The sequence below is a fragment of the Homo sapiens genome, chromosome 10, assembly GCF_000001405.40.
Source record: "Homo sapiens chromosome 10, GRCh38.p14 Primary Assembly".
Classification (NCBI taxonomy): Eukaryota; Metazoa; Chordata; class Mammalia; order Primates; family Hominidae; genus Homo; species Homo sapiens.
Window position 1 is genome coordinate 54,204,430 of NC_000010.11, and position 24,044 is coordinate 54,228,473.

General features: G+C 36.1%; 1 protein-coding gene across 20 annotated transcripts in view; it reads right to left on the bottom strand.

Annotated features, from left to right (window-relative positions):
* PCDH15 (protocadherin related 15) overlaps window positions 1-24,044 on the bottom strand; it is a 1,825,172-nt gene that overhangs the window by 401,659 nt on the left and 1,399,469 nt on the right. For all 20 annotated transcript variants that reach the window (XM_047425663.1, NM_001354420.2, NM_001354429.2 and 17 more), the window contains one exon: window positions 9,507-9,619. In XM_047425663.1, coding sequence (XP_047281619.1) covers window positions 9,507-9,619 — 113 coding nt within the window. The remainder of the gene's footprint in view (window positions 1-9,506; window positions 9,620-24,044) is intronic.

Below are 24,044 nucleotides of genomic sequence, written 5' to 3' on the forward strand. Positions count from 1 at the left end.
AAGGTGATTAGTGACTAGGAGGAGGTGTAGGAGGCGTATGGGATGTTTGTAGCATCTTTTTTTAACAAAAATCTGGTTGTTAGTTACATGATTAACTTCACTCTGTGAAAATTCATCAAGATATACACTTTCCTGTATGTCAGCAGCATGTCAGCATTTCAATAAAAATGTTACTAAAAAAATAAGCTATGAACTTGCTCCCCAAAAAAGTGTACATAGACTATCCCTTCCTCTCCTATCACAGTAAACTAGGATACGGGCGCTCAAGTCCAAGTGGTAATTTAATAGCAGCTGCCCTAGGAAGTGACATGGAAAACCAACATTATGAAGATACGTGAAAATTAAAGATGCTCCCCTCTTCAACCATCTGTGTTCATTAAAGATGGACCCCAAAAGTAAACTTGGCCTTTTGCACTTTCCCACTAAGTGTTTCCCAAATACTGTGGTTTCCAAAGCCCTGCTTCTTATCTGCTGCCTTAAAATAATCTAAGGTAATTGTTAAAGCAAATTCCCAGGGGCTCAACCAAAATATCTGACATGTATCTGCTGTATTGCTTATTTGTTTTCTTTATTAGTTTAATTTTATCATATCTTCCTAAGTTTTCAAGTAATTTTAATATATGACTTGCTCTCAAAATTTAGCATCCGAAAATCACATGTAAATCTTGATTCTGTAGGGAGAGCCCTGAAGTCTGCCTTTCCAAAACAGCCACATCCCCTGGTCCTGGATATGTAGAATCAGTAGTCGTTTGGGATCAGTTGGATCAGGCATTTTAGCTTCTCTCACACAGGCTTATAGGTAGCTGTTACACTAAAAAAGCCTAGGGTGAGCAGCTGAGGCCAACTCTGTTCTAGCCTTTTATGTAAGTCATTATCACTCTTCTTCACTTTCAGCAAAGTCTCTTAATTTGGACTTAGTTGGAAACTGAATGGAAGGAATTCATTTATGTAAGGGAATTCTCTGTAGGATCCTGCAGCTCACTGAAGCTCTACAAAAGCTATAGGTCCAAAGCAACAGTAATTGGTAACAGGTTATCAGGTTATATTTCCTTTGTGTGTGTGTGTGTGTGTGTGTGTGTGTGTGTGTAAAATGTCTTAGGGAGGGATGACTGTGAATAACCTGTGCTCCATGAATCAATGAACATATTATCAACTGACTAAAAATTATTAGGTTTTTGCCATTAAAAGTAATGGCAAACACCACAATTATGTTTGCATCATCCTAATAAAAATAAGAATATCCCATTGATTCTTGACCCTACTTATAAAATTAACTGCCTTAAAACCTACAGGAGCCTCCTTTTATTCAAAATTTAATACTCTAAAAATTAAAGGATGCATATACAGTTTGACTTTAAGCCAATTTATTACTATTACTAAACATACTCAAAAACTTATAAATAAATTCAAAAACCTATAAAATTCATGAGATAAAATACAAATAACTGTTGTATGCTGTAAAGTTTGTTTGCAAGGCTATACAGCAAAAGAGTATATTCTTGGTTGGAAACAAATACCTTTTTTTGTATGACAAAAAGGAAAAGAAACTTCACTAGATAGAATATAGGCAGCACATATTTTATAAAGCCTTGTAATATAACGACGAAATAATACTGACACATTTCACACCTAGGGAATATTTTTAATAAAACGAAATACTTTCTATCTTCACTTCAAGTAAGAATATGCCCATTCTGTTTATAACTTGTTACAACGAACACATGAATCCTCAAAGCTCTTGTATACCTTTCAATGATAAAAATCTTTCTTTTTGCTTAGAGCATGAGATACAAATCGACACTGGAATGACTAAAAGGATTTTGAATGATTTAAAGAAAAAATAACCTTGCCACTCTGGGGAAGACCACAGATTCTGAAAACTCTCACTTATCACCGACATGTTGAACTATTTAGCTGGTGTTTGGAACGTGAGAATCATCTTGGGTATAAACAGCAAGGTCAGCCAGATATAAAATTCTGATAGTGATAAAGGGGTAACTTTTTTTCTGTGAATCTTCCAACTTATGTTTTATTTTTATTATTTTATCCTGCCTTTTGCCTTCCAACCAGCAAAGCCATCTTATCCTACACTGAGGTCTGATCCCATTCCCAGTTTTTTGTCAACCAAGAGAAAACCACACTAAAGTACCTTCTATGAATTAGCCAACCAGAATAATGTATTTTGTAATAAGCAAATTTTAAAAAATCATTAACATAAAAATTATATCTAAATCGTTTATTTTTCAGAGCCTAGAAGGTATTGAGGGTGAGAGGTCAATATTTCTCCTCCACCTACTGGACCGTTCTTGAGACAAAAAATAACAAAGAGTTTTAGCCTACAAGTTTTTCAATATGCTCTTTCATTGTTATATTTCTATGGAACCAAGAAACCTATGAAGAACGATTACTCGGGAACATATGTGATAGAGTGCTAAGGATGTTTATGTGTGTGGGGATTGCAGAGTGGGGAGACGTGACAAGGGTTCAGAAAGTGCCTTTCCTTTGAACATTTTACAATGTTTGGTCTTGCTCTTGTACTCTTACAATGACCTTTGCAGACAAGAAGGCCTTGGCAAAAAGCAAGGTACTCTGATGAGAATGGATAAATTGCCTTTCTTCTTCCCAAGCAGTTACAGGTCACCTTGTGAGGAAGAAAAAAGGCCAAATAAAATGTCACCTCTGTGTGTCTTTTGTCAGTTTGTGCTTTTTGACAGCCACTATATTCAACTGCTACATTCTATTTCTGTTCTAACACTGCTGCATGAATAACGATATGAGACAAGAGGACATCATACTTCCTTTCCTTTTATTAGCTTCCATAATTGGCATAATAGTTAATTAATTTAGGCCAGTACTTAGAATTGTTAGAGACAAACCAGTGGAAAATAAAAACACACGGTGTTCTTTCTGAAGAAACACAAATACTGTTTTGTTTTGTGTGTGTGTGTATGTGTGTGTGTGTGTGTGTGTGTGTGTGTGTTTTGGTATTATTTATTATTTCCTAGTAATGGTAGTGTTGCTCTTCGGCAATATTTTTGCTTTGATTAAACTTAACTCATTAAAACAAAAGTTGTAAAAGGTAAAGTTTTTAGACTGACTTCTTTTTGAGCTTCTACATCCTCTGTGATGTATCTCAGTATGTTATCTGAGTCAAATTGTTGCTGTTCTCATGATGTGTTGTTGGATATGGTATCAGGCACCCTGTGGAGGAACTCTCTGGTGGGAGGTGGTGTACAACGTCACACTGTAGCAGAAAACCTGAAGGATACTCTTAGCTGCCTTCTCTGGCATTTGATCCCTTAGTTCTATCCAAGTGTATCACTTTATCCTTAGGCAGATTAAATTTCATATTATACCTCTGAGCTCATTTACTTACTCTGTTACACTTAAGGTAAAACAGATATAGTCATTTGTCTTAACCATTCCCTCTTATTTAGTGATATGTTCAAATTTCCTAACATAAAGGCTTTTCTTCATCATTAATTAGAAGCATTAGTGATCTTATATAGAGAGTCTCGTGGAATATAGTTTTCTCCCAAATTCTTCTTGGCCCTCCATTTTTAAGCCAGTTGATAACATCCCCTTTTGTTAGTTGGATGCTATGACATATCATGACAAAAATTATGCTTTGTGTGGCAATCTGCTAAGTTTAAAAAAAAGGAGAACACAAAATTAAAATACGAACACTTAGTGTATCAAAGGTCAATTGATTTCAGAAATTGTAATATTTGTTGGAAATTCATGGAAAGATTGCTATTTCATTACTAATAACAAGTAATGCCTGAAATTTCTGTGGGGTGATTTTCTCTAAAATGTGTAAGAGATATTTACTTTGCCTTACCTTAGAGACCTGGCTATTGGGGTAGAAAAGATAAACTTATTATATTATTTAGTAACCTACTGAACTGAGGTGTGGTGTGCAATGGACTTAATATTTGTATCTCTCCAAATTCATATGTTGAAATCCTAATCCACAATGTAATGCAATTAGGAGAGGTAATTAAGTCATGAGAATAGAGGTCTCATAAAAGTAGTTAGTGTCCTTACAAAAGGTACCCCAGAAAGCTCTCTCACCCTCTCACCCTCTCATCCTCTCATCCTCTTTCCACCAAGTGAAGATACAAACAGAATTTGGCAATCTGCAACCCAGAAAAGGAACCTAACTAGAACCCGACCATATTGAGTATGAAATTCCAGCCTCCGGAAGAGTGAGAAATATATTTCTGTTGTTTATAATCCACCCAGTCTTTTGTACTTTGTTAGAGTGGCCTGAACTGACTAGTACGTGTCTGTGTGTGTGTGCGTGTGCGTGTGCATGTGTGTTTGTGTGTGTTTCATTCTTGCCATAAGAATAAGAGTAGGAATATATTGCTAGAATATTTCCAGATATAGAAGATATGTCATTTGTAGCATTTGTCTTCCTTCTTGTAGCTTGGCAATAGCAGCCCTGATGTTTTTTCTCTTGTCCTAACTCTGGGTCACTATGGACCCTGTTCAACCTCACCTTAAAGGAGTGCCAATCGTTTCCATCTCTTGTCTTTTTTTTTCCTCTCTCTCTCTCTTTTGTTTGAAAACTGATGATATACACATTAGAGTAGAAAGAATATAACTTATATTTCACATCTCCATAACAGATTTAATTAATTTTATTAGCTTTTTCATTTTCACGGTAGGTTCCATCTTTTTCATTTTGAGAAGTGATGACTGATGATCTTTGACTTGCTACTCTGCCTGACTTAGACACCTGTGATCTTTCAACTTGACAACATCTCTGTGGGAAATTCAGGTAGGGGGCAAATTGTAAATTGGCTTGAAGGCAACATGCAGCAGCATGATCTATTTTTTGTTGTTTTAGCGATACTCTGTTGGCAGTGTGAAAAGATGGACAAGATGCACAGAAATGAAGCATGATTTTAGAGACTGCTTGTGTAAGATCATGGGCCAAGAGAATGCGAAATAAAGAATTGCAGTAGATGAGCAGAGTTGAGATATTCAAGAGGATTTCAAAGGTATCAGGAAGGGATTCTATGAGTGACTGAGTGGGAACATACGAGAGAAGAGACCTTTGAGGAAGTGGAAGTGTCTAGCTTGAGTGGGTGACCAACTAAAATATGATTAACTGAAAAAGGGAATAGAAAATAGAAGGTTTGGAATTTTTAAAGGATGTATATAGTTTGCTATATTTTTAATTTGTCACAATTAAATAATACTAGGAGTAGTTATCCAACCAATAATTGAAAAGATGTCCGTAGGCATCAGAAGTAAAATATGTCTCCTCAGACCAAGAAAAATGCCAGGCACCTGAGAAGCATTCAACAAGGATTAGGGAAATTGAAAACTAGCAAATGTCATATGCTTTAAAATCATTGAATCAGGGTGTTCTCTTAAATTTCTATGAAGTAAAATATGATTTTTATCATTACTCAAATAGTGACTAAACATTTTCTAGAGTTATGACATTAGTGATTCATGTAGGGACAGGGGTTGTAGTAGCTGTCCTCCTCTTAGCCCTCAATCATTTCTCAAATGCTGTTTTCCTGTAACTCTCAAATTACTGAAGGATGACACCTTGCCAGGGCATCAGGCACATCAGCACTAAGAATCAAGCTCACTAGTTTTAATTCCCTGGCTAATTTTCTATGGCAAATATGTAATTTTTCTTTAGAAGAAACACATTTTTTGACGCAGTCATAAGTAGCTTTAGTTGTGCCATAACAAAGGTGTGACATTTTTTCTAGGCATTGAATTTATGTGGAAATCTATTTGCTACATTTGCATCTTTTTTTTTTCTGGACAGAGATGCAAGATCAAATTGTATCAAATGCACACACATTCACATGTAAGTATTTAGATAGAGTGAAGACGTAGGTACACAGATTCAGCAGTCTGAAAAGATTTACTGTGCCAGGGAGAAAATAATTACAACAAATGTTTATTAAGCAGCTTCTATGTGCTGTATATAGGTAGGTGTAGGGGCATGGGATGCAGTGTAAATAAATGTTTTGCAATCTGCCCTCCTGTAAAAGTTGGGAGAAAATAAACAGGTACATTCAATAGAGTAATTGGGGCCACTTTAGGGGCCAAAAGGCTGCAAAAAAGCAGCTTCCTAACAGTGGCTATGCCTTTCGAGGGCAAATGTCTTCTTAGTTAAAAACTGAAACATCAGTTTGAATTAGACTGTTGACAAGAAGAGGGAGGAATGATTCAGGAAGAGGGAGAGTATCTCTAAATGCTTAGATGTCAGAAAGAGCATGGTCAGTTGAGGGCACTGGAAGCGGTTTAGTATGTTTGGAACAGAGGGTGTGCAAGTTAACTAGTGAGAGCTCAGGGTTAGTGAGCTCATGAGTTGGAAGGAAAAGAAGTTAAAAGGCAGCATGCTAGATAGAATAAGTAGGTCAGTGAGTAACAACATGAAAATCAGAGGAAACATGAAACAATTATGCTTCTAATTTCATTGTGATCTTTGCTCTTCGTTGTTAATTAAAGGGATTTAGATTAAAACATGCAATTGTTATTTGAAGAACTGAGAGACAGTAAATTATTCAAAATTTATCCATTTAATTGGCCTTAATAATTAATGACTAGTAGCTTTGTATTAGATGCCTGAAGTATAAATATATCAACTAATAATACTTGAAAATATTTCACTTACAATACTGAAAGTGATTTTATGGACTTTGTAATAGATGGTCCACACGTGAACTAATTCACTCTTACCAGAGTTCTTAAATGTGCTTTCATATTTTTACATCACAGGTGGTTTTTATTTTATGAGTGTAGTGATCAAATAACTTATCCAAACTGGGACATTTAAAAGAGCAACAGAGGTATTATGAATAATTACACAAAGACAATGGACATAAACATGTACTGCCCTGGGTAAACCAAATCTATGATTCTTGTTCACAGTGTATATCACATTTTAAAGTATGCTTAAATGATTACAATTATATAAAATTTAGGATAGTGTTTTGGAATGGAACAAACTTTTTCAACTGCATGTTTTAATCTTTTCATAGTCTAAAGTTTGTGAACTATTCCATTTTGTCTTCCAAGTTACACCTTTACATTTTTATTTGTCAGCATGCTGAATAAATCACTGGGAGAAAAAGAGAAAAAAATGAACATGAGAAATCTCTAATTTGTGGCACTCACCAGCTGTTAAATACACACATAGCTTTTTAAAGCAGAATTCTTCTTCAAAATGTAGGAGAAGAGACTTCATTTTATTTTTTCTCCGCTTTTGAAACATAAATTGGGATCTAGTCCAACAAAAACTTTTAGGGCCAATGAAAAAATGAAGTATTATTAAAGTAAAAAGAGAGAGAGAGAGAAGAAATTGAAAGATTTACTATAGAGGAGAACTGCCAGATTGTAGCATTTCAATGGTCCCCTGAACAATGCCACAATACTCAGTTATTATTCAAGCAGGTGGCACATTATTATTACAGTTAGATACCTTTGCTTATTATGCCCTTGACTTCACACAAAACATAGTAATTTGAATCTAATATTGTCTGTTAAAACTTCCATTAATAAAAGAAAGTGCTATTAAAACAAAAAAAAAATCTGTGGCCTATTGTAATTGATTTTTTTTCTGTAATTGATGGACTGAGTTACACTGTACCCAGGTACACCAGGACAGCTGAATTCGATAATAAAGGAAAATAATTGATTTTTGGTTTCACATGTGACAGTTTGGAAACAGTGCTTTGTCAAATTTCTTAATTCCCATAGAAAGCAGCACCACAAGAGTCAGGTAGATCCACAATAGAAAATCAGTACACATTGTGGAGTTTTATATACTCTCATAATAATTAACATAAAATAGTCAATGTAAGAAGGTGAATCTCATGCATGGCCATTTAATACAACTGGTTAAAGTGGTGTTTTTTGTTGAATAACTCCCAAACCCTTAATAAATGAAATCCCAGGAAACTGTAGTCATCCTTCAGGCTCTCTCCGTGGTCTGACGCTATACCTCATTTCCCTGTTAACTGCTTGTAGCCTGTGCATTATGTCTCCAAGCGTTTACTTCTGTGCCTCCTTATGTTCAAACATCATTTCCCACTTTTATTCATTGACCATACTCTTTCAATCCAGCAACATTTAGCTTGGGGTGATCTCCAGAAAATCTTCCCTGAGTTTCCAGATTAATTTAAATGTCCCTATTCTGTGTGTCGTTACCGCTTTTTACACGTCTTCCTCTTAGCATTTGATGCATTTTATCTGATTTATTTGATTATATGACTGTTTCCCTTTCTAGACTATAAGTTTTTTCAAGGACAAAGATCGCTGAATAAACACAGGTTCTGTGCTAAGGACATATCTATTAATTGTTAAACTAGACAACCATTTCTAAGTATCTGCATATTTGTGAAGTGAAAAGAGCATGGCTTTAGCGTATATAAAACTAAATTTGAATCTCAACTCTGCCCCTTATTAGTAATGTAACTCTAAGGTAATCACTTACCTTATCCGAACTTTAGTTTCCCCATTTTGTGCAAATGAGAATATTACTAAAATTGCGGCAACAGTTCAATGAAAAATGCACACAAAGCAGCTTAAACAATGTTCATTCTCAGTAAGCTTCCCTACCTTACTTCCTTTTCCTTTAGTATGTTTACATTTTTCAAAAGGTAAGAAAAATACCATCGGGATGCATTTCTAGAGGTTTTTTTTGCATGCTTAAATATGAGAGAGTTATGTACTATATACAAAACTTATGCTGAATCTTTGCTTTTGTCTTTTCTTGTACTTACAATGCCCTTTTCCCAGTCCCATCTCTGCCTGGCAAATTCCTGTTTTTCCTTCACTGCTTAGATTAAATCTCACCATCTCAATGAAGTCCATCGAAATTAATTAGAAGAATATCTGCATTTTTTCAGTATCTATTTAATGATTATATTAAAATATAGATATACTATTAAACCAAAAGTGAAATGCCAAATAGATTAGCTTAGCTTTGAATTATTTCAAGTCTAAGATCATCTTTCAATATAAAGAAAATAATGAGACATATATTGAAAGCATCTTTGGATAGGCAAGACCTCTTATTTTTATGTTGGAAAAATCATTAAAAATACATTAGAATACAATTAAGTAATAAAAATGAAAACAAAATTAAAACAACATATAAATCAAGCACATTTTAGATGTCTTAATTGGTCATGTTTTTGTGGTAAAACGCTAATTCCTTTTAGTAGAAAAATAATGTTAGAAGACATAATGAATTGTGTAGAATTGTATACGCTTGACCAAGGCATTTGTTACATATAAGAATATTTAGTATTTTACCCCATAGTACTATAAAACGTTATTTTAGAGAAAAGCAATGCCATGTATTAAAAGTGGGCTTCGCTTATTTTCTTTTTAACAAAAAATTGACTGACTGCTGTCCACATTAATTTTAATTTTATAACATAAAACTGCCTACAGTAGCGTCTACAGATTTATCTGATTAGCAGTTCATAAACACAAGGAAATAAGATATTAGCTTAATTTACCTTAATAACCAAATCAAATTTCTGGTGAAAGTCTCTGTTTACTGGCTCCAGGAGACTAAGTTCTGCTGTCCTAGGATGCATATGGAAAAATCGTGGGTAATCCTCAGGAGTCCCTGGAAGACATTGAGATTTCAGTACATAATTGAGAACAATAAGTAATATGTGTATCTGCTTTTTCTATTTCCCTTCATCAGCTGAGGAACAAAGCTACAATTTCATTAGTAAATTAAGTTTCACAATTATGCAGTTCAGGGAAAGCAGACACAAATGTGGTATATAGTTATTAATAATTAGCATATCAGTAAGAAAATGGAAAATGTTTGGATGATTTTTGAAATTTTTTTTATTAAGAGGGCTCTAATTAATTTGAATCTTCATCACATGAAAATAGACATTAAGTGGAGGGAGAGTAAATTTTTTATTATGAAATTTTATTTTAATGGTGCATAAATCTTAATTATAACTGTTTGGTCTTTCAACATATATTGTAATAAATGATTAGTAATTTGTACCAAATAGTGAGATGCTTGGAAATTAATGTGAACATATTTTGTTGCATATATTATTTCTTAAGATTAATATCAAGCTAATAATGTTAATCATAGTAAATTAAATATAGGTTCTGATGATACTCTTAATGTCTACACAGGGTATTTATTTATGTATTTATTTTTGAGATAGAGCCCTGCTGTGTCACCCAGGCTGGAGTGCAGTGGCTTGATCTCTGCTGACTGAATCCTCTGCCTTCCCGGTTCAAGTGGTTCCCCTGCCTCAGCCCCCAAATAGCTGGGATTATAGGCGTGTGCCACCATGCCTGGCTATTTTTTGTATTTTTAGTAAAGAAAGGGATTTGCCATGTTGGCCAGGCTGGTCTTGAACTCCCGACATCTGGTGATACACCCACCTCAGCTTCCCAAAGTGCTAGAATTACAGGTGTGAGCCACCACGCCTAGCCAAGATGGTATTTCTTAATGTATTTTAATAATCAATATACATTTCTTCATGAAGAAATGTCTTCTAATTGTATAATCTTCCTTTGTGTACTGCAACATTCTTTTCCCAAAATGAAGAAGTCAAATCATAAAATTGTATAGTATATACATTTGTAAAATTAATAACCATAAGAGAAAAATAATATAGCTTCCTATTATGGAAACCTACTCTGTGCTAAATGCTTTATATAACTAATCATCAATAACTAAATCATTTACATTTTACAGATCATGACTTGGGAGACTGGGGAGATTAAATGACTTATTTAAGTTAAAGGGACAATCTGAAACAGAGCTTTTATTAAAAATCCAGGCTGCCAGATGTTAAAACACATCCAAAAAGGGGCTTATTGTTACTACTTATTTTCCTCAACTCTGAGACAAGAAGGGAAATTCTACTGGGCAGTAAATGAGGGGGAAAAAAAACAGAAACATATTTCACACCATTAAAACCGACTGTAAAATCTACAAATAGTCAAAATTATAGATGAAATGCAATATATGATAAAGAAGTTATCCCTCCTAATAGGAGAGTCATACAGAAAATCATAGAGTTTCATACATTCTTCATGGAATATACATGAGCAAACCCCAAATGAAGAAGATATTCATAATAATAAAAAAATGAGCACTAGTCATAGATGAAAATGTGGATAAATTTTACTCTAATGTGAGAGTGAGCAAACCTTTCCTAACTATGGCTCAAAGTCAAGAAGTCAGGAAGAAAAAGAGATAAGTTTAACTATATTGCAAAATTGCATGGTGAGACACAATGAACAAAGTAAAACCACAAGTGACAAACTGAGAAAACATTTGAAATTTATGTCGAGACGGCCGGGCGCGGTGGCTCACGCCTGTAATCCCGGCACTTTGGGAGGCCGAGACGGGCGGATCACGAGGTCAGGAGATCCAGACCATCTTGCCTGACACAGTGAAAGCCCGCCTCTACTAAAAAAAATACAAAAAATTAGCCAGCCTGGTGGCGGGCGCCTGTAGTCCCAGCTACTTGGGAGGCTGAGGCAGGAAAATGGCGTGAACCCGGGAGGCGGAGCTTGCAGTGAGCTGAGATCGTACCACTGCACTACAGCCTGGGCTACAGAGTGAGACTCCGTCTCAGAAAAAAAAAAAAAAAAAAAAAAAAGAGAAATTTATGTCCAGACAAAATGTTCATATCCCGAATATATATATATAGGTTTATAAATTAGCTAAAAATAGGGCCAGTGAGGGATTTAAAAAGTGTGGGGCTGGCTCGGCGCAGTGGCTCACGTCTGTAATCCTAGCACTTTGGGAGGCTGAGGTGGGCAGATCATCTGAGGTTAGGAGTTCGAGACCAGCCTGGCCAACATGGTGAAAACCTGTCCCTACTAAAAATACAAAAATTAGCTGGGCGTGATGGCGCACGCCTGTAATCCCAGCTACTCGGGAGGCTGAGAAAGGAGAATCACTTGAACCCGGGAGACATGGAGGTTGCGTGAGCTGAGATTGTGCCACTGCACTCCAGCCTGTGCGACAGAGCCAAACTCCGTCACAAAACAAAACAAAATGTTCGGGGCTAGAGAAAAAACTGTTCACAGAAAGAGAAAGGCAAATGACTCTAGATCATAAGCAAAGATAAGCAAAGATGCTTATCTCGATACATAAGAAGAAAACTACAAATTATTCCTACATTAAGATTTCATTAGTCACTTAGATTAGCAGTTGTCCCAGTTGGAGACTGTACTCTGTTGGCGAGCCTGCAGGAAAACAGACACTTTGGACACTGGTGGTGTTAATACAAGTGTTGTAAAATTTATGAAGGAGAGTATGACATAAGCTACCAAAATAATATTAATGTTTACTTTTTGACCCATACATCCCACATCTGGACATTTTCCCATTTATAATAACGGAAGATAAATGACCACCTAAATATACATCAATAGTGGTCTGGGTAAATAAATGGTGATACATCCTAAAGCAGATGATAATTCAAATGTAATGATAAATGATAGATATCTTTAGCTATTACTATGGAGTTATTTTCAGCTATATTAAGTAAAAAAAAGCAATTTGGAAACAAGGGCCTATAATATGCTAACCTTTAAGAAGAATACACATGCATATTTACAAAGGAATACATACACACATTTAAAAATCGAAGATAGACTGTAACATAAAAAATTGTTACTTATGAGAAAGAGAGGGAACACGTGGAGAGGATAAACACTGAAACTAAATTTCATTACCCATATCAAGTTTTTTACATTTTAGAGCTACATATGTTATATATTATTATAAAACTAATTAAATTCAAGGACTTCTCTAAAAATAAAATAAAATAATTCAATCTAAATGTATATTTAGTTGTTGGCACAAGCACAAACAAAAAGAACTACCCCAGGTGAATTTTAAAAGTAGTACTGACATCACACCCACAGTGTAATATAGGTGAAGTACCAGAGAAATTACAAAACTCAAAAAGTTAAGCTATCTACAGTAATCATATTGGTGGTATGTTGTGATTCCAAGATAGTTATAGGAGTATTTTACAATAAATAAGCACATTATTATGTGTCATTCTGATTCTATTCTTTTCAGTATTGAAAGCTGGATTCTTGGCAGGGGATGATAAAGAGATAGAAATTAAAAATTAAAGAGGTAAAATAGAACACCTATGGTTTTGATTTTGAATTGGCAGTGGAAGTTTAAACTCAGGTTGTAGTTTATCTTAAGAAACAAAATGCATACAACACAGCTCTGAATGCTGAAACACAGAACTATATATAATGGCCAATATAGAAGCGATGAATATTTCTAATGTTCAGACTATGGTTTTGAAATACTATTTACCAATAAAAGCACTTAAGATTTCTGAGAGAGAGAGCTGATTTCAGGTCCAGGGCAGAAAATCAACAAATAGCTGTGAAACATCTGCTCACACTAAGTAGCAAGAAAGAATTCCGAGACTACTAAACTGATTTGAAAAGTTTTCAAGAGCCAAAAGGCTTTTTTTTGTTTTTTTGTTTTTTAAGCTAAAGATAAGACAATTTGAGCATCAATAAGGATCATATCAGTAATGATTTGAAACAGATCAAATATGTTTAAATTCATAAGTTTACGAGTGTTGCAAAATAACGTATTGATCACTTTTGGAGCATGCTAGAGAAATATTTTGTAAATTAGAAAATAAGAAAACAGAGCATGCTTTTTCCATATGAGCTTAACATGGGGTAAACAAATAATTGATTAAAAAGTGTCTCATTAAGAAACTATTTCAGCTAATAATTTAAGAAGAGTAATAGTATCAGAGTGCCATCATTTTACAACCCCTCATAAATGAATGGATCATGGCATTGAGCACTAAATGCTGCTAATATCACAAAAAAAGAGATAAAGCCACATACATACCACTCAATAGAAGAATTAATTCAACATCATCTGCTATGGCCTGAGTTGTCCCCCTCACCATTAACAATTTTATGTTGAAGCCCTTACTCCCAATGTGACCATTATAGAGAGATAGACCCTTTTAAGAAGGTAATCAGATTAAATGAGTCTATATGGGTGGGCTCTTAAATCTGATGGGACTGGTGTTCTCTTTGTCTCTCTTTCTTTCTATCTCTTCCCTCTCTCTCTGTCCAAGGGCACACAGAGGAAAGGCCATGTGAAGACACAAGAAAGCAGCTGGAGAAGCTTCATCAAATACCAACCATGAAAGCACCTTGATCTCAGGCCTCCAGAACTGTGAGAAAACACCTTTCTGTTGCTTAAGCTACTCAGTCTAGGGTGTTTCTTAATGGTAGTGCAAGCAGACTATTATACCACCTATGAAACAGTTTTGAGAAAACCCAACAAAGAAACAAACAAAATATGTTATTTGATTAAGTGTCAAAATTTATAGGAAACATGGGACAGAGTAACATGTAAAATTAAACCAAGGAAAGTACAATCAAGATGACGAGAAACTCTATAATATAAACAACTTGACTTCTCAATAAATGAATCACAAGAAAACAATTTAAAAATAAATGGAAAGAGAACCACTGTAGATTAAAAGAGACTTAGGGCTGGGCGCAGTGGCTCACGCCTGTAATCCCAGCACTTTGGGAGGCCGAGGCGGGAGGATCACAAGGTCAGGAGATCGAGACCATCCTGGCTAACATGGTGAAACCCTGTCTCTACTAAAAAAAAAAAAAAAAAACAAAAAAAAAACAAAAAATTAGCCGGGCGTGGTGGTGGGCACCTGTAGTCCCAGCTACTGGGGAGGTTGAGGCAGGAGAATGGCGTGAACCAAGGAGGCTGAGCTTGCAGTGAGCTGAGATTGTGCCACTGCACTCCAGCCTGGGTGACAGAGCGAGACTTTGTCTCAAAAAAAAAAAAAAAAAAAAGGAGACTTAGGAGAGGCTGGGCGTGGTGGCTCATGCCTGTAATCTCAGCACTCTGGGAGGCCGAGACGGGCAGATCACCAGGTCAGGAGATCGAGACCATCCTGGCTAACACGGTGACACCCCATCTCTACTAAAAATACAAAAAAAAATTAGCCAGGCTTGGTGGCGGGTGACTGTAGTCCCAGCTACTCGGGAGGCTGAGGCAGGAGAATGGTGCGAACCTGGGAGGTGGAGCTTGCAGTGAGCCAAGATCCCGCCACTGCACTCCAGCTTGGGTAACAGAACAAGACTCCATCTCAAAAAAAAAAAAAAAAAAAAAAAAGAGACTTAGGAGAATTATCAATCCCAACGTGTGAACTTACATGAATTCTGGTCCCCTTGCATCTCTCCCTTTCCGAGAAAAACAAAAACAAAAAAACAGAAAAGAAACTAAAAAACAAAAATAATATTTGTGAGAAAGTGAAAATAAACACTGACTGATATTTAATATTAAATAAGGATTGTTATACTTTTTATTTGTGCTATGATATTGTCAGAATGCTCTAAAAATAGTTATTTTATAAGCATAAATTCAAATATTTGTGGATTAAAATTATATATTTTTTCAAAATAATGAGGAAAAAAATTGATAGACATATATATTTTAATAAGTTTGGCCAAGTCTTCATAATTCTTGAAACTAAGTGATGCCAAATGGTGATTTTATTTACTATCTCTTATTTTATATATTTTTAAATAAGAGTTTTCAAAAATGCAATATAATTTATCATTTGCTTTGGTTTGCTTTTACCCTAGCTTTCATCAGCATAGAATGGAGCAGGGCTCCTGGAAGAATGAACCCAAAATGGTGAAGATAATTGAATAATAGCCGCTGAGCTGGGAAAGATTTTCATTTCCCAGAGAGTAATACTTACTAGCTGTTAACTAGTTACTACGGTGAAAATGTTATAATCTCTTTATTTGTAAATGATCTATCTCATCTAAGTTTCAAAACAATCTTATGGGAAAGATATTTATTGCTTGATCTGTGAAGAAACCAACACTCACAGAAGTTAAGTAAAATATTCTGAACTCTCACGGCTAGTAAATGACTAGGTCAGAAGTCAAGGTATCTAAATTCAGAGTGTAAACTCTTTCCTGTTATGCTATATAGCCTGAGTTCAGTGAATTAGACACTTTGGCTTCATCGGCCATCTGTTTCTGGAAGGTTGGTTTTTAGACATCCTTACAGAATATCAACTCAACAAGAGTATAACTAGCAATTAAAAAATACATCTCCTTAGCACTTTGGGAGGCCGAGACGGGCGGATCACGAGGTCAGGAGATCGAGACCATCCTGGCTAACACGGTGAAACCCCGTCTCTACTAAAAATACAAAAAATTAGCCGGGCGTGGTGGCGGGCGCCTGTAGTCCTAGCTACTCCGGAGGCTGACGCAGGAGAATGGAGTGAACCCAGGAGGCGGAGCTTGCAGTGAGCCGAGATCGCGCCACTGCACTCCAGCCTGGGCGACAGAGCGAGACTCCGTCTCAAAATAAATAAATAAATAAATAAATAAATAAATAAATAAATAAATAAGTAAAATAAATACATCTCCTTGGACAAAGAGTAAAACCAAGTGAAATTTATTTCCCTGCATTTCTTAAAAGTGTAATGCTTTTCCAGCGAGGACTAAGAACACTTAATGTTTGTGCTTTCATTATACACAATGTTTACAGTCAACCTAAAGCTGTTCTTTAGAAACAAAAAATTAGCCGGGCGAGGTTGTGGGCACCTGTAGTCCCACCTACTGGGGAGGTTCTTTAGAAACAGCTTTGATTGCCTAAATTTAGATGTAAAATTGATAACTATGTTTATTATCACAATTATAAATAATACGGTGAATTTCAGCATTATAATTATTAGAGCCAACATAATTAGTGGTTGCCAAAACATTTATTTTAATTTTTATATATGCTAAGAAAATTCTACGTTTTTCACTTTTTCAGTATTATAGAGGAAATGGCAACCTAAATTAATCCCTTGGTGAAAAGTTTACAATTTTGAAGATTACGGGTTTTCTGTAGGATAAAGAAAAAATGCTACACAATTATCTTCATATATTTAAAATGTAGAATTTTAATTACACGTGTTGATCAAGATAGTATCACCATGACTAAGATAGTAAGCCTATCCATAATTGCCAGAAATTTCCTTATGACAATGTCTCCTTTCTCTCCCCATTCATATTTCTCACCCTATGCAAACACTGATCACTTTCTGTCTGTCAGCATAATAGGAATGGGATCATTTATATAGTATGTATTCTTTTTTTTTTTTTTAATTTTGAGAAAGAGTTTTGCTCTTTTTTCTAGTCTGGAGTGCAATGGTGCTGTCTTGGCTCACTCCAACTTCTGCCTCCTGAGTTGAAGCAATTCTCCCGCCTCAACCCCCAGAGTAGCTGGGATTACAGGTGCCCACCACCACGCCCAGCTAATTTTTGTATTTGTAGTAGAGACGGGGTTTCACCATGTTGGCCAGGCTGGTTTCGAACTCCTGCCCTCAGGTGATCCACTGGCCTCGGCCTCCCAATGTGCTGGGATTACAGGCATGAGCCACCCTGCCTGGCCTTACAGTATATATTCTTTTCGTAGGTGTGTCTGGCTTCTTTCAATTAGCATAATGATTTTGAAGTCCATGTTGTTTCATTTATCAATAGTTTATTTATTTCTATTGCCTAGGTGTTATTCTATTGTATGGATATGCTACAACTCATTTATCTATTCATACATTGATGAACACTTGAGTTGCCTCCAGCCACAAATAAAGATGCTATGAACTTTCCTGTATACCTCTCTGAATGAATCTATGCTTTCATTTATCTTGAGCAAATATCTAGGAGTGGAATGGCTAGGCCATATGATATGTCTATGTCTAAATGTTTTATTAAGAATTTTTGGGCAGGGAACAAGTCTGTTAATTTTCAGTTACGTATAGGTTTGTGTAGTCAATACCACAATCGGGATATAGAATGGTTTTATGATCAAATAACTACTTTGTGTTTTCCTTCCCCAAAGTTAAATCTTTAGCAATGACTGATTTGTTCATCACCACCGTACTTTCATCTTTTTGAGAATGACATTTAGATGGAATTGTGTAGTATAAAGATTTGGAGACTGGCTTCTTTCAACTCAGTATAAAGCATTAGAGATTCCTCCAAGTTGCTGTGTATCAATAATATTATATTTTCATTGTTGAGTAATGTTTAACTTTTAAAGAAATTGCCAAATTATTTTTCCAATGTGTCTGTACCATTTTACATTCTTACCAGCAATGTATGAGCATTTCAGATCTTCCACATTTTCACCAACACTTGATATTGTCAGTCATTTAAATTTTGGCCATTCTGGTGTGTATGTAGTGATATTCATTGAGGTATTAATTTGCATTTCCCAATTAGCTAATGACATTGAGCAACTTTTCATATTCTTATTTTGTTTATAAATCTGTAATAATTTGTTAAAACTTTCTGCCATTTTATAATTGTCTCATTTTTATTAAATTGTGTTTTCATATATTCCCCAAACAAGTCACTTGTTGGATACATTTCGCAAATACATTCTCCTTTTCTGTCAGTTCTTTTTCAGTCTATTGTCAGTGCCTTTTGAAAAGCAAATGCGTTTTTACTTTGATGAAGTCAAATTTTAAATTTTTTCTTTTATAGATTTGCATTTGTTACATTTAAGAAATTGTTGCCAGCCGGGCACAGTGGCTCACGCCTGTTATCCCAGCACTTTCGAAGGCTGAGGTGGGGGGATCACCTGAGGTCGGGAGTTTGAAACCAGCCTGACCAACATGGAGAAACCCCGTCTCTACTAAAAATAGAGAATCAGCCAGGCATGGTGGCACTTGCCTGTAATCTAGGTACTCGAGAGGCTGAGGGAGGAGAATTGCTTGAATCTGGGAGGTGGAGGTTGTGGTGAGCCGAGATTGTGCCGTTGCACTCCAGCCTGGGCAACAAAACTACGTCTCAAAAAAAAAAAAAAAAAAAAGAGAAATTGTTGCCAACCCTAAGGTCATAAAAATCTTTACCAATATTATCTTTTAGATGCTTTATAGTTTTAGCTCTTACATTATGTATAGAAAGTCTTTCAAGTTGGTTTCTATAGATAGTGTGAGGTACGGATTGAAGTTTATTTGTTTACATATGGCTGTCCAATTGTTCTGCAATGTTGGTTGTAAAGATTAACTTTTCCTTCTTTTAATTGTCTTTTGCTTCATATTATTTTTGAAGTGTTTATACCTTAACAGTTTTTTCTCATAGCTGTATTTGCCTATCATTTATTAGCATAATACTTCTGATTCCCTACATATAGTAAATTGAAGGAAATGTGGATGCCTGACCTAAACTATATAATTACCACTTAATCTTTCAATAATTTTTATTTAGAGCAAAGAATCAGAAGATGGATGTACAATCTGTACCACAAAAATAATGGGCATCTAGAGGAAAGGCCCTCTAATCCCTCATCTTGAAATTCCTGTTTCTGCTTCTTAAAATGTTATTGTTTTTGACAGTTCCTTGAATTCTGGAAGAAAACAAAGTCCTTTCAATAAATTTCCTTAAACGCCAAGATGAACTTAAGTTCACCTCTGTATTTTTTACCCAAAGAGGCCCATTCAGGAAAACATTTGTTTTTAATGCTTCATACATTTGAAAATGCACATCTAATATACTTCAAAGGAGCACTACCTCAAAAAATACAGTATCAAATTTTTCCCTTCACCACTGAAAATGTTTATCTTTACATATAAAATTAGTAAGCTGATTAACACAGAAATAAAAGAGAACACTGTCTTCTGGGTGCCATGAAGATGTGTGGTAATTCCTCAGATTTTGACATTGTAGATATATAGAAATTATAGTCAGTTTCAATAAAACACTGCTAATGAAAACACCCACAATTTCCTTTGGTAGAACAAAAACAATTATAACATGTAACTTATCTCTCCAGGTAATTTTTTTGTGAAAACCTTTTAATGAACCATGAATGCTGGATACCCTGCAGAAGCCAAGGTATTGAAATGTAAAAACATTGTACGAGAATAGAAACACATGTCTAAGTTCAAGGTCCCTACAGAATCCCTTATTTATCCCACTTAGAAAATGTAATATAAACTCTATTTAGCAAAGCTTAATTCATCTAAAAATATAGCTGCTTCTGAACCATCTCTGAAGCTCTGGGTTTTATTTCTTTTTAGTCATTCCCTTATTTGATCTTGGGATTAATTATATTAATATTCCATTCCTCTGACATTAAATTCACCTGCTACCCCTTTTACATAACTAAAATTTTGTTGATAATTTTAACCATTATTTTCATCTATGCCCTAACAACACATTTGTTTTTGTATCAAGTTATCCCTAGGTTCAAACATATATTAGAAAAATTACCTCTAATTTCTCATTATTTTCTTCCATTAATTTTAACTTTAGCACTTTTTCTTTTCAGCTAATATGTTCTCTTAGTGCATTCTTTGATAATTCTAAATGCAAAAAGTAAACTACCTTTGTCCTGCTTTTACAGCTTCCAAAAATCATTAGTTCTAAATCTGTCTCCTTTGCAAAACTTCTTTTTCAGCTACTTGTTATAAATAACGAACTTCATTTTCTTATCGAAAATGTTTTTAATAACTGTGTAATAGCCACCAAAATAATTTAAATCCATTTTTACATATTATTAGGGAAAACTAAAATTCTTATCTTAGTAGCCAATATCTCAACTTCAAAAAATCTTTACCAAAGATTTTATTGGGTTGCTTTTCCTATGCATATTTATGACAATGCTTCTGATTGTATAGTTCAGGTATACCTACACTAGAAAGACCGAGTTCTTGTCCCAGATCTTCTGAATCAGAAGCTCTGAAAAGGGAGGTCAAGAGAATGCACTTTGAACAATCTCACTGAATTCTTGTATCCTTTAAAGTTTGAAAACCACCTCTTCATGGTACATGATACGTTCATATCTGTTATTTAAACATAAAAATAATTACAAAATTCAGAAACTATGTTATTACTAATAGAACCAACATTTTTTCTGACTACGTAGATTCAAATCCCCAAGTTACTTTCACTAGCCAGTTCTCTACACATTTTCCAAGTGATTCTTCCTTACCTTAGAACGTCTCTCTGATGTGTTCCTTTTTCATAGTCCTAATCTCTTACCTTACTTAGACCCTTGTCATTTCATACTTGTACCACGGTGATAGCCTCCTAATATCTTCTGACATTCCATTCCCTTATAATCACTGAAGGAAACTTTCTAAAACGCTACTTTTATTGCCCAATTATCTAGACAAAATTTTATCTATTGTGTACTGGGGTAACCCCTAAAATAGAATTGAGAATAAAAGGTATAAATTTATTTTTCTTTATGATTGATTCAATTTACATATAGTGAAATGCACAGATCTTAAGCTTTAACGTTTTAGGGGCATAGACCCATGCTATTACCACTCCTATTCAAACTTTATATTTATTTTTAAATAAAATAATACAAAAGTAAACTTAGCTAATGCTTTATATACTGACTGACACTGTGTCTCTGTATGTTTTAGGGACAAGCAAGGAATCTTGAGGGAGATGTGACAAGTGTACAGTGTGAAGGGATAAGCAGCAGTGTATTATTCAGAGTTCTTTAGAGAAACAAAACAAATAGGCTATAAGGACATATTAGTACTGACAGTGAGAAAGAAAGAGAGAGAGAGAGGGATTGATTCTGTCAATCAATTGGCTGATTGATTATGCAAATTTGTTGTTTTAGTCCATTTTCACACTGGTGAAAAGACATACCCAAGACTGGGCAATTTACAAAGGAAAAAGGTTTAATTGGACTTACAGTTCCACGTGGCTGGAGCCTCACACTCATGGTGGAAGGCAAGGAAAAGCACGTCACTTCTTACATGGATGGCAGCAGGCAAAGAGAGAGAGAGCTTCTGCAGGGGAACTCTGCTTTTTAAAACCATCATATCTCGTGAGATTATTCACTGTCATGAGAACAGCAACGGAAAGACTTGCCACCATTATTCAGTTATCTCCCACATGGTCCCTCCCACAACATGTGGGAATTTAAGATGAGATCTATGGCCAGGCATGGTGGCTCATGCCTATAATCCCAGCACTTTGGGAGGCTGAGGCAGGCAGATCACCTGTGTCAGGAGTTCGAGACCAGCATGCATAGCATAGTGAGATCCCATCTCTAGGTGAGATTTGGGTGAGACACAGCCAAACCATATCATTCTGCACTTGACCTCTCCCAAATCTCACATCCTCACATTTCAAAACAATTCATGCCTTCTCAATAGTCCTCCAAAGTGTTAACCCATTTCAGCATTAACTCAAAAGTCCACAGTCCAAAGTCTCACCAGAGACAAGGCAAGTTCCTTCCACCTATGCATCTGTAAAATCAAAAGCAGGCTAGTTACTTTCTAGATAGAGTGGGGATACGGGCATTGGATAAATACAGCCATTCCAAATGGGAGAAATTGGCCAAAACGAAGGGTCTACAGGCCCCCAAGTCCAAAATCCAGCAGGAAAGTCAAATCTTAAAGCTCTGAAATGATCTCCTTTGACTCCATGTCTCACATCCAGGTCACACTGATGTAAGTGGTGGGCTTCCACAGCCTTGGACAACTCCACCCCTGTTGCTTTGCAGAGTGTAGCCCCCTCCTGGCTGCTTTCATGGGCTGGGGTCGGGTGTCTGTAGTTTTTCCAGAGGTACTGTGTAAGCTGTTGGTGGATCTACCATTCTGGGGTCTGTAAAATGGTGGCCCTCTTCTCACAGCTCCACTAGGTGGTGCCCCAGTAGGGACTCAGTGTGGGGGCTCTGACCCCAAGTTTCCCTCCTGCACTGCACTAGTGGAGGTTCTTCATGAGATCCCTGCCCCTGAAGCAAACTTCTGCCTTAACATACAAGGCATTTCCACACATCTTCTGAAATCTAGGTGGAGCTTCCCAAACCTCAATTCTTGACTTCTGAGCACTCACAGGCTCAATACTTTGTGGAAGCTGCTGAAGCTTGGGGCTTACACCCTCTGAAGCAGGGCCTGAGCTCTATGTTGGCCCCTTTCAGCCACAGCTGGAGCAGCTAGGACACAGGGCAACAAGTCCCAAGGCTGCACAAGCATGGGGATCCTGGGCCCAGCCCACAGAACCATCTTTTCTCCCCAGGCCTCCAGGCTGGTGGTGGGAGGGGCTGTCATGAAGACCTCTGAAATGTCCTGGAGACGTTTTTCCCATTATCTACAGGATTAACATACAGCTCCTCGTTACTTATGCAAATTTCTGCAGCCAGCTTGAATTTCTCCTCAAAAAATGAGATTTTCTTTTCTATCAAATTATCAGGCTGTAAATATTCTGAACTTTTATGCTCTGTTTCCCTAATAAAACTGAATGCCTTTAACAGCACCCAAGTCACCTCTTGAATGCTTTTGCTACTTAGAAATTTCTTCCACCAGATAACCTCAATCATCTCTCAAGTTCAAAGTTCCACAAATATCTAAGGCAGGGGCAAAATGCTGCCAGTCTTTTTGCTAAAACATAACAAGAGTCACCTTTGCTCCAGTTACCAACAAGTTCCTCATCTCTATCTGAGACCACCTCAGCCTGGTTTTCATCATTAATATCATTATCAGCATTTTGGTCAAAGCCATTCGGTAAGTCTCTAGAGAGTTCCAAACTTTCTCGCATCTTCCTATCTTCTACAGAGCCCTGCAAACTGTTCCAATCTCTGCCTGTTACCCAGTTCCAAAGTCGTTTCTGCATTTTTGGGTCTCTTTTCAGCAACACCCCACTCCTGTTACCAATTTACTGTATTAGTTCATTTTCACACAGCTGATAAAGACATACCAGAGACTGGGCAATTTTCAAAAGAAAAAGGTTTAATTGGACTTACAGTTCCACGTGGCTGAGGAAGCTTTACAATCATGGTGGAAGGCAAGGAGGAGCAACCCACATCTTACATGGATGGCAGCAGGCAAAGAGAGAACACTTGTGCAGGGGAACTCCTCTTTTTAAAAAAAAATCATCAGATCTTGTGAGACTTATTCACTATCACAATAACAACACAGGAAAGACTTGGCCCCATTATTCAATTACCTCCCACCTTGTCCCTCCCACAACACATAGGAATTCAAAATGAG